This window comes from Homo sapiens, chromosome 5, assembly GCF_000001405.40.
Source record: "Homo sapiens chromosome 5, GRCh38.p14 Primary Assembly".
NCBI classification, from domain to species: domain Eukaryota; kingdom Metazoa; phylum Chordata; class Mammalia; order Primates; family Hominidae; genus Homo; species Homo sapiens.
In genome coordinates this window covers 73,269,003-73,281,159 of record NC_000005.10, presented here as the reverse complement: position 1 = coordinate 73,281,159, position 12,157 = coordinate 73,269,003, and the positions used below count along the sequence as shown (strand labels likewise).

The window sequence follows — 12,157 nt, the reverse complement described above, 5'->3', positions numbered from 1 at the left end:
TTGGCAGTGTTGGTGCAGAATCTGCGGCCACCTACCCTTCTTCCAACAACCGAGGTCCCAGCCAAGCAGTGACAAGCCAGGCCAGTTCCATGTATGGGATTACAGCGTTAGGTGAGAAGTTAATCACAAACATGAATCAGCCTTGTTTTTCCCTTCTAGGCTCGGCTCCCGAGCTCTGCAGGAGAGTGGGCAGGGCCCCTCGCTGTATGTACAGGAAATCATACTGGGGGAAACATGAAGCCAGCCATTTCTCACCAGGGCCAAGCTGTTACCTGCATCTTGAGATTATAGGGGAATTTATTACGTTACATAGGAAGAGAATCCCCTTGGTGTGACAGGCAGGAAGAAAAACCATTCACGGGCCAACTGACTTCTTCAGTTCCACCCAGGCTGTGACCACTGGGCAGTGTCTCCTTTCAGGGCCCCCACATGCCCCACCCCCCCACCCCAGCTCTGTAGCTCTTCTGGACTGAAGGCATCTAGGTCAGAAACCCTTTTGTGCTAAGGTTTCTGTTCTCTGTTTTCTCCCAGCCCAGATGGCCAGCCTATACAGAAACTCCACTTGTTGTCTAAACCAGCAGGACTGGGTTAGGACCTGTGGTTCTGCCAAAAACCCTGCCTAACCCTCTCCTGGAATGTCCCACACTCTCGGCCACTCTTATGTTCCCTCACATCCTTACTACTTCAGCTCTAGAGCATCCCACTTGCCACCTAATATTTGCAGGGTGGCTGTCACTTGCAAAGACTGGCAATAGTGTCTGTCTCCATCACGTTGGAACCCTCTGGCCCTGTTTTCAGATTTCATAAATGCCACCCCTCTGTCTTGATGCTGACCTGGCTGGGCAGCCTTTTAGTGAATGCTATGCTTGGCTCAGAGTCACGCCATCATGAAGTATTTCCCTCCCTTCTGAATTCTGTTTGCAAAATCCTCAGTTGCCAGCAGCTCCCTACAAAGAAAAGCCCTCAATATCATCAGAGGAAAGTAAACCTCTCTAGAATCTTAGTAAATCTTAGTAGGTAGCCAGTATTGCAAAGTGTTTTATTTATTTCTTTCTTTCATTTCTTTTAGAGCACTAAAGTTACTACATGCAACTAATTAATCAGAAAACTTTAGTGACTTTGACTTCATAGGTCATTGCACAAGCCTGCTAATGTTCGAGAAATTCCATTTAACTCTGGATTTGAATGTCACATCTATTTATGTAGCAAAAGGAGTCTAATTCTTTTTTTTTTTTTTTCCTTCTGCCCCAAGAAATGTTCATCTGGGAAACAAGAGCTAGGGAGTACTAGCACCAAAAGGGTTTCTTACTGTTAAAACTTAAGTCAATCTCAAAGTTGGAGTCAAAATTAAAGTGGACTTTGGCAGTTTGATCCAGAAGAGAAAAATCCTGAAGGGAGTGGATGGCCCAGAGATGGCAAGCGGGAGAGGGCTGAGGAGGCGTCAGAAGAGCTCACAGGAAAAGTCACACACAACACATCATTCAGGGAGGTTTTCTCCCTTCCTAACCAACAGAGCTGCACAGGGGAGGGCCCAGATAACGTATGTGACCAGACACAGACATGTGTCCTTTTAACATAGACACACATACACCAGAGGTTAGGCACACATGACACCCTTAAAAGTCAAAATCACTTGTTATTAACAAAGCCCATGCTCACATCTGGGCAAAGGTGAAGGGAAGGGGACGAGATCACACACAGACACACACACACGCACACACTCACCCAAGACACGGATAAACAAGCATGCTGCCTGGAGCTGTCACCTCTCTCTGTAACAGACTGCAGGGGTCTTCTCTTGGGCCTCTCCTGGTGTGTTTCAGGGCTAATTGTTTTCTCAGACCTCTGTTTTTACTTTCAACACAATTCAACACATTAACAGCTCAGCTTAGCCAGGATATGCCAAGACCATGGGGTGGGGGAGGAAGGGAAGTGGTGCCCAGAAGAGGTGCATAGGGTGGGTGAAGAGACAGGGGTGGGCCTGTGGCGATGAGGGAATTGGGGCATGAGCACCAGCACCTTAGAAAACATCTGTGCCTCAAAAAAAGCTTACGGCCAACCTCAGGAATCAAATTCACAAAAAGTCTCAGTGGAAGGTGGCGGCCTCGTGCCGAGGCAAGCTGTTTGTGGGACAGCCCGTGATGATGGCAGATGGGAGGCTCAACAGTTAGGAGAGTTTCTGGCTTTCAGATGAGAATTGACAACAGCCCCTGGCAAACTGACATCATACTAGATTCTTAAAAACCCTGCGGTTTGGCCACCTTCCAACCTACCTGTTCACTTGGACGTTCCAAGGTCACCTGAGTGAGGCACTCCTCAGATGTGGGGTTTTACACTGTTCAACAGCTGATGAATTTCAACACTGTTGCAACTACCTTTCTAGGTAAGTGAGGGAAGTTTTAGGGAAATGAATCAAATTTCCCTTACACTGACTCAAGTGGAAGAATTAGTCCTTTAATTCTGAAGGATGGTTGAAAAATGCTAATGGACATTTATATTAGGAAAATGGAAACAACTTTTATAAAATTCCAGTCAGTTTTCCAAATACTTCCCACTGACGCACCGAGGATGTGTTCTAGTTCTTTCAACATAAAGCACACATTTAGGTAGCCCCCATATAAAGGAACGAGGTACACAGAACCTCACCATTGAAGGACTGGTGGTGCATGGAGACAGTGTGTCTTGAAGATTCATGCTCCAGGAGACACCCAGGTAGCTAAACAGTGTGCTGGGCCCAGTGCCTTGCTGTGGCCTTCCCCACCATCATTCTACCCAGCCAGCAACTGCTCAGTGGCAGAAGACCAACAACATTCTACACACAAGGAATCCGAGGTCTTTCTGGAGAAACAATGCCTGTCCACCGAGGGAGGGGCCTGGGGCCCAGTAACTGAAGGGAGAGGTCAGAATTGAAAGAAATGTTGCAGAATGTCTATCAGGTTTCAGTGAAGATGCCATCTCCTAATGGGCCTACAACCCCCGGAAGGCCCAGCACTTTGTTAGATGCACAGGATGCAGCATGGAGCTCCATCCTCATGCAAAATTTATAACACAATCAATCCATGGCATCTGTTTCCCCAATTGGAAGAGGCTTTTAGTGTATTTAAATGCCAAAGAGAAAGAACTAGTATATACAGAGAGAGGTAGAAGATATGGGAAAGGAAGAGAGATTGGGAAAGAGGCAAGAAGCAAGAATCCAGAGAACAAGTGGAGGGGTTGGTCATGAACAGAGGAAGCAGCCTCTTTCCCTGTCATGGGAGGGTAGGACCCGGCTGCAATTGGGCTTATAGGTTTGGAGTCTGAGGTGCTCACCCACAGCTGCTCACTGTTCAAATTTTGTGTGTAGGCAAGAGCTGGCACATATCACCTAAGTATTTTTGCAAGCACTCAGTCTTTCAGAATTGGAGCTGAACAAGGGGAAAGAGAACAATGGTGAGTAGTCAGGATCCTGAATGGAGCAAGGCTGTATGACAGGAGTCTCTTGTATTTGTATGATGTTTTTGATATTTTTCCAAACTTTTCACTTTGGAGTGCTTAGAGTTAATCAGAGAAGCTGGAAGACACCCTGGAGATGTTACTCATGCAGTGCCCAGAGATGACAGGTCTAGCAGATCCCGGAGGCAGAGCCCTTGGTTCAGCAAAGTCTTTAGGGGCCATGGAGGAGCAATTTCAGCCCAGGTCTGGGTGTGCTGTCTGGTGCTCAGCCAGGAAAGATGACAGCGGAGCTGCTGCATGACACCTATTGTTGTTCTACCTGGAAAATCTCTTAAATGTGAGCATTTAAATTACACCCTCTCTCTGTCAATTTAAAAATGAAACCACCTATACCCAGTTATTTCAAATGAAAGCACCTTATTCTTAGGGTTAGTGACTTTGCTTTTACAATGCTGTGTCTCCAGAGTCTCACACAGCCCCTGGCACATAAGAGTCATACAAGAACTCCTTGAGTAAATGAATGTCTGTAGGACGAGAAAGTACCAAGAATAAAAATGAGAAAATAATTTGGAAATGCATGAAAACCCACTGAAGCAATTTCTACTTCCTCTCCATCCTTGTGGATTAAAAGGTTAATCTGACATTTGAATGAAAGATTTTAAATCCTTAACTTCATTATCCATCCACTGTTAACATCTTGTTTGTAGATCCTTTTAGATTTCTTTTTATATACATATTTTTTTCTTTCTCCCATTTTGCATTAATGGGATCAAACAGCACATCTTTTCTTATGAGCTGTTTTTCTCTTAGCAGTACACTTCAGACATCTTTTCCCAATGTCGATAGATACCATTTGATGTCTAGTTCTAAGTGACAGTAAATGTTGTGGGTAGACATAAGATCACTACCCAAAGGACTATGGGAGAACACTGGCGACATCTGCATTTAAGGGGCAGGCAGAAGAAGAGAGACCCATGAGAGACTCAAAAATGGGCCAAAAAGATGAGGGAGAAGCATGGAGAAGTAGTAACACAGAAGTAAGGAAGGAAGAAGTTTCAAGGAGGAGAAAGTAGCCACTTGCCCAAATGCTGCTGAGGAGTTTGATAAGTCAAGGGCTGAGAGGTATAATTAATTCAGCAAGAGGTGAGTATGTTATGCTTTCCACTTTCCACTGTCTCAACTTCCTCATGCTGTGAAATGAGAAAGGAGATTCTTGTCTGTTTACCTCCGGGGCAGGAGCATTCTTTGGCTTAAAGTGATGTGAACTTTGTGTTTTGGAAAGGTATTGGTTAGGATCACATTTAGCTGCATTTAAGAGAAACCCCAATACAAAAGACTTAACCAAATGGATTTTATTTTGCTCAGCTGAGAAGAAATGTTGAGGCTGGCAGTCAAAGGGTTGTTACAACTGATCAAGGTAGTCAGCAAGGACTCACACCCCTTTAAGCTGCGGATCCACCATTCTTTGAAGATTTCCTCCTTGCGGTTGCAAGGTGGCTGCTCTGCCACCAACCATCATGTTTACATTCCAGTCAGGAAGACAGATCAAAGGAGGATGTGCAAAATGTTCATATTATCTGATTTTTTCCATTTCCATAAGAAACTCTACCCCCTAGACTTTGCTTACACATCATTGGCCACAACTGGGTGGCATGGCTGCTGTCATGTGTCAGAATATCTGGAGATGGGAATATTTTCTCCTGAGCACATTGCCAACCATTTCTTCTGACAGGGAAGAAGGAAACAGACCATAGGGAAGCAACCAGTGGTATCTTCTACGGGGTGATTATATGAGAAAGATTAGGCCTGAGCATAATGGCAGGCAGGCTTCTGAGATTTAATACATCTCTTTGTAAAAGGCAAAAATATTAAAGCAATCCATTTAATTCTAACAGGAAGTAAAGAATAAATCACAATCAGTCCCAGGCTGGTTTTCCTCATAAAGTAGGTCAGTTAGAGGGATCAGTGTCAGCTAAACCTCTGTATTCCAGTCCTTTCAGTTTTAATGACAGGCCCCTTATATTTTAAAAGTAAATTTCACCTTGCAAAAATAGTTGGAAAGATCCAAGCTCAGCAAGTTGCTAGGAGACCTGAGGGACCTCACTGGGTGAGCCATCTGGGGCCTGAATTTCTCTTTCCTGATGACAGATGCGCCTGAAACCTGTTCGGTCTCCAAAGTTGGTTGGAAGTGGGTGGAATTTCAGCTCTGAGCAAACACAGGGAGATTCCCCATCACCAGGCCGCAGCAACTTCTTCAGGGAAGAGCTGCCGCCAGTTCTCTGAGGTAGAAAGAGAAGCCAAACTGCTGAAGTAGAGAAAACGTTTCCCAACCTTCCTTCATCAAGCAGTAACCCAGCTACAGCTGTTCCATTTTCTCCAAGGCTCCTCTGCCCTCATCCTGTTAAAGTTTTCTCCCTAGGGGGCTGGTCTCGAAACAGCATGCTACTAGGGGAAAGGGTCTGTGAGCTGCAGCCCACGATAGCTGAGGCCATCTGCAGATGCCACGATAGATTTGCTTTTCTGCCAAGCCCCCGCCATCTCTCTGCCCCCATCTCCCTGCCCTCCACATTGCTAGAATGATATCTTTGTTAGCTAAATGTGAGCACATGCCAGAAGCTGTTCATCTAAATGAGCAAGTGCTTTCTGGGAATAGGCCTGATGAAAGAGAATCCGAGGAGAGCTCTGTAAGCCCGCCAAGCCCTGGCTGCTGAAAGGAAGGCAGTATTATTTTCAGAGGATGGGGTGTGCCAGGCGGTGGTGAGACACCAGGAAGAGGCAGAGTCGCTTAGCAGGATCTTCATTCTTGCCCTGCTCTCCCGGCCTGGCACCCTCCCACTGAGGACGGGAGATGGCTCTGGGGAAATTCCATTCCATAATTCATTTAAGCAGGATAAACAGAGCTCCTGCTCTGGAAGATCCAGCCCTGAGCAAAAGGCACTTGGAATCGACATGGGGGGCTCGAATGTCCCTGTGAAACATAAACATAAGGAGGCAGGAGACATGAGATGCAGCCGGCTCTGACCCCAAAGAGCCATGGGACCTGAGTAAGTGACTTCGCCTCTCTGTTTTGGTCTCTCGGTAAAGTGATGCTGGGCTTTGTGGATCCCCGAAGGGCTGCAAAGGTTTTTTAGAGTTTCCACAGACATTATTTGATTAAATTTGATTTAAAATTTTTCAACAATGTTAAAAAAATAGGAGATAATCAAAAATGACATGGGCCAAATTTTAACCCACTGAAGACTGCCAATGTGTTCATTATAATGCCGTGTAAACACCTACTTGTGGGTAAACCTTGGAATGAAGTTGTCCTGCCATCTGTTTAATAGAAGAGTATCTGAGGTTGCAAGGAAAGCTATCTTTGAAAAATAGAAAGAAAAAAACAGTTACCATGTGCAACTAGTTATCTGAATAAGGATTTTCTCCGTATTGCACAACGAAGCATTCCAGAAATAAGCAGACCTGACTCCTCTTATCCATCTAACTTCACTTTTTGGGGGTCAACAAAATAGCCTTATTACCTCAGTGACTAGCCTACAATTTACCTTCATTTTAACTTCAAAATGTATTAGCACTAATAAAATACTGCTTTGTCTAATTATCTGTATAACTGTTCTAATATGGTTATATTACTAAAATATTTGAAAATCACTAGAGCAGAGACTGCAAAGGGGCCTCAGCTATCATGAAGGTTCTGGGACCAGGCACATGCTGTGGGTCAGGCAATCACCGAGACAGGAATGCCACATGAAAACGGGAAGCAGTGAGCAAGCAGATTTCATGGGGAGGGGACAGTTCAAGATACCTTCCACATAGCAAGCACTCAATAGCTGTTTGTTCATTGTCAACAAATAGAGCCAACCCTTGGAAGGGGTGTGGTTCTGTTCTAGATTCCTGCACATCCAGGAATTCGTAAAGGAGCAGGGCAAAGACGAGGGTGTAGCATTGGCAAGCAACGAGGAGATCAGACTGGCTGCCTCAAAGTGTTTATGGGAGAGTGGGTACAGTGGGAGAAGAGAATGCAAACTTTGGACTTTCGAGAGTGACCTCTCAGCTGGTAAGCAGCTCTTAATCCTTGCTGCTGATTTCAGAAAATGTTCTGTTTAGGACCACAGGCAGAATTGCTGCCTATTGGCCAGGAGAACCTTGTAACCTGCTGCCAGGGTGTTTGGTTTCATAGAACTGGAAGGAGCATGATACTCTCCCATCACTGCCACTTCATTCCTACAGTGGTAAGTTGAGACAGCAAGTCTCATGCTAGATAGGAATCACCTGGAGAACTTGTTAAAACACAGACTTCTGGACCTTAACTCTCAGAAATCCTGATTCAGTGGGTTTAGCATGAGGCCTGAAAATTTTCATTTCTAACAAGCTCTCAACTGAGACTAATACTGCTAGTCCCTGAACAACATTGAGCACTATCTTAAATATTGATAGGACACTTAATATATCTTGGTCATGGTGCAGGGGGGCTACAGAAGATGGGGAAAAGCTCCTCAATAGAATAACCAGGACAGGGTGTCCTTTTTCACAATTGATGGGTGGCATGGATTAAAGAGAAATCTCAGATCTGAATCCACAGATGGAGGAGGGAAGTCCCATGAACATGGAGCAATAGGGCAGGGTACCCATCTCTGACCCAGCTTCCATATAGTTGTCAGAGAACAACGTGAAGATGAAAAGCAAGTTCAGGTCAAGAGGAAGCCCTAGCAAAATGAGCATGAAAAATGAGAGAGAGTCCAAACATGCTCATACAGCATCCTCAATCTTGGGGCTAGCAGTCCATGGTTATCTGAGCAGTGGGATGAGGCATGTTCTTGAAAGTTCTGTTGTGGGAAGAATGTCCATTTGATGTCAAGAGCGAATCTTGCCCATGGTTACAGATTCAATAATTTGTCTAGTCACAGACCACTCACCCTATTTTCTTTATACTGCTCTTATTTTCACAATGAATACCTTTCTTTGGCAAAAGAGATGCCGGAATATTCCCCTTCCCACATCATTGGTTTAAAAAGTATGTACAGCTTGACAGGATCTCAAAAACAGCTATCATCTTTTGATGTAGTGTCTCTTTGCCAACATGGTGGTAAATGTAGCCATGTTGTTTTCAAATTTGCTGTTAAAATTCTGTTCTAAACCTTTTGAAAGAGACAAACAGATGTCATACAGGGCAGGGTGTTGTGGCTTCAGTTGGGAAAATCATATGACTCACTCCTATAAATGTGTTGAAATACTTTCTTTCTTCCATAATTTAGCCACAAGTGTTAATTAAAGCATCAAATGTGTATTTGGACCTATAAAATCTTCATAACCAGCCAAAGCAAAAGGAAAAGCTATTGAACACTTGGAACTTTAAAAATGCATTTTTGAAATGGCCATATTGGAGTTGAACATTTTCTTTAGCAAAACTAAACTCCAAAAAGGAAAATAGCAACTAAGACGTAAAGCAAATTGCTTTTAAGAATGATCCTGTGGTGGCCAGGCACGGTGGCTCACACCTGTAATCCTAGCACTTTGGGAGGCCGAGGAGGGCGGATCACCTGAGGTCGGGAGTTCATGACCAGCCTGACCAACATGGAGAAACCCCATCTGTACTAAAAATACAAAATTAGCTGGGCGTGGTGGCGCATGCCTGTAATCCCAGCTGCTCAAGAGGCTGAGGCAGGAGAATTGCTTGAACCCGGGAGGCAGAGGTTGCGGTGAGCCGAGATTACACCATTGCACTCCAGCCTGGGCAACAAGAGTGAAACTCCATCTCAAAACAAAAACAAAAACAAAACAAAAAAAAGAATGATCCTGTGGCAAAATTGTTTTACTTTGAAGAACCAGCCTAGAATGTATTTGTAGTGAGTGCTCCATATTTACATATGGTAGAGATGGTCCTCAACTTAAAAATAATTACAAAAGCCCATTTTCAAGTTGGCGTTAAGAACTAAGAATACGTTTTCTCATTTAAAAAGTCATTGAACGTGGTAGAAAAGTGCCAGGATGGACACACACAGGCTCCACAGCCTGTGATTAAGTTGGATAGTGGAGCAAAGGGTGTTCACCTGAGTGAATGAAGCCAGTGTCTCATGAACAGGAATCTGCAGTGGGAAGGAAGACTAGGAAGGGGAACGAAACCTCTTTCCCAGTCTTCCCCCATCCTTTCCTGGATGTCTGAGTGTTGAAAATAGGTTGTTTTATTTATTTATTTTTCAGATAAATACATTTTAAAATATTTCTTCAATTTTTTAAATTTATTTTAGAGACAGAGTCTCACTCTCTTGCCCAGGCTGTAGAGCAGTGATGAGGTCATAGCTCACGGCAGCCTCAAACTCGTGGGTTCAAGCAATCCTGCCTCAGCCTCCCAAGTAGCTGGGACTACAGGTGCATGCTGACCATGCTTGGCTAATTTTTTAATTTTTTGTAGGGATGAGGTCTCACTATGTTGCCCAGGGCCAAATAAGCACATTTTTATTGAGTATCCTATGTGCCACATATTATGCTGGGCCACAGGATGTAATGAGAAAGACTGAAAGATCCTTCCCCTTAAGGAGCAAATAATTTAAGTGGGAAAGAGACAATTTAATAAAGAATTACAAGAAACAAAAAAAAATTAAAAGAGAAAGAATTATGGCCAGGCACGGTAGCTCATGCCTGTAATCCTAGTACTTTGGGAGGCCAAGGTGGGCAGATCACCAGAGATCGGGAATTCAAGACCAGTCTGTCCAACATGGTGAAACCCCATCTCTACTAAAAATACAATAAAAAAGTAGCCAGGTGTGGTGGCACACACCTGTAATCCCAGCTACTTGAGAGGCTGAGGCACGAGAATTGCTTGAACCTGGGAGGTGGAGGTTGCAGTGAGCTGAGATGGCGTCACTGCACTCCAGCCTGGGTGACAGAGTGAGACTCCGTCTCAACAACAACAACAAAAAGAATTACAAGCAAAAGCTTATGAGATTACAGAAGCATCTGACTTATATTTGGTGAATCAAGAAAGGCTCCCTAGAAGAAGCAACATCTAACCTAAGGCTTAAGAGATAATAGCCCAATGAAGGGGTCAGAGGGGCAAGGGGAAAAGGAATGCTTTTCAGGCTGGAAAGCAGCCTGCACAAAGTACCCAGGACATGAGGCATTGGGCTGGTGGGGTAGGGAAACACTGTGATGGGTTCCATTTTGGAGGTGTTGATTGATGTGTCTGTGAGGTGTAGATTGTCCTGTAGACAGTTGGGTACAGGGATGTGCAGCTCAGGAGGGAAGTCTGGGTGGAGAGTACAGACATGGGAGTCATCAGTATGAAGACAGTGGGAGTGGATGGGGATGGGACCCAAGAAGCCAAGAAAATAGAAAGTCAAGAAGTAGGCAGAAGTCACCAGGATCAGGGCTTTGGGGAGGTCACGTAAGCCAAGAATGGAAGTTTTCATTGCATTTCGTCATAACGTCACTGGTGATTTGAGCAAGAGCAGTTTCATAGCAGGAAAACAGGCAGAAGGCAGATGAAGGGGGTTGGAGCTAGAGTGGAAGGTGAGGACCTGGAGAGCACACAAGGCAAACGACTCTTCCAAAACCCTTGCTGAGAGAGGGGGCAATGCCAGAGTGGAGCGGGAGTTTAGGGAGAGGACATTTTTGCTTGTTTGCTTAGATGGCAGAACAGACGGAGGGAGGCAGTAAAGATAAAGCAACTGAAGATATTGGAGGCAAACAGGAAAGAACTAAAGTAAGGTCACCGAGAGAGCAGTAGCAGGTGGGATCCAGTATGGGAGGAGGACTCAGCCCAGATGGAAGGACGGTGGAAAGATGGGTGCTTGCAGGTTGTTTTGGAGAGTTGGTGGAGTTGGGAACAGGAAACTGAGGAAGTTCTTATGGGTTTTCTCTGTGTGAAGGAAGGCAAAGTGTCCTTTAAGAGTGAGGGGGAGAGGGAGGATCCGAGACCTGAGGGGCAAAGAGGACTGCTCTCTCTTCAAACATCTCTGTGTGCAGCTTTCTTCAGCCCCCTAGGGTCAAAGTGCTCCCCGGCTGCCTTAATCTTCAAGCTGTGCCCTTTGGTCCCCACCTACCACCTATCTCCCTTTCTGTATCATCAACATTTCCATATTTCAACCTGGCTGCCTGGGTGTCAGAAGGGAAGTTAGACCAATGTCTCATAACCCTATTGAGGCATTTGTATTTCTGTGGAAACAATCATGTTAACCTAAATAAACCTCTAATTCAAGAGTTTCAACAGAGGAACAGATGGAGTGAATAGTTCTGGGCAGTGGCCAGGATAACTATCTGGAGTCTTCCTTTGGGGGTACCTTTTATCCACACAGTGATCTAAAAGACAAATGCAAATAAAACAGGAAGGTCTGCAGACCTTCAGGTGCAGGGAAGGCACTTTGCAGCCAGCTTCATTATCTAGATAGAACGAGATCTGAGAGCAAAGTTCTGCATGCTCTCCCAGCTCCAGCTGCTCCAGGACCTGGAATGGCCCATCATCTAGAGATTGTGGCTCCTGGAACAACCAATACAGTTAAAGCTCACAGCCAGGGTCAGCCTGGCCTCCTCCATAGCACACTAGCCTCCACTGTGTTAACTCACGTGGTGTAACACACAAGGTGTAAAGCAATGCATCATCCACAACTGGAATGGATCTTGCAGATGGTGTCTACCGATGGTGATGGTAACAATTTGCAATAGGTCAGAACACTTTATTTTATCATCTGTTACTATAGCCTGGGGCACTGGAACTGTTAAAACATGTTTA

At 44.9% G+C, this 12,157-nt stretch overlaps 2 long non-coding RNA genes across 2 annotated transcripts in view; one reads left to right on the top strand and one right to left on the bottom strand.

Annotated features, from left to right (window-relative positions):
- LOC124901002 (uncharacterized) overlaps positions 1 to 12,157 on the bottom strand; it is a 76,128-nt gene that overhangs the window by 8,904 nt on the left and 55,067 nt on the right. The gene's annotated exons all lie outside the window — the stretch shown is intronic.
- The window catches only part of LOC105379031 (uncharacterized), a 28,435-nt gene continuing 22,509 nt past the window's right edge, over positions 6,232 to 12,157 (top strand). The window contains exon 1 of the long non-coding RNA XR_948470.3: positions 6,232 to 6,476. This is a non-coding gene — a long non-coding RNA (uncharacterized LOC105379031). The remainder of the gene's footprint in view (positions 6,477 to 12,157) is intronic.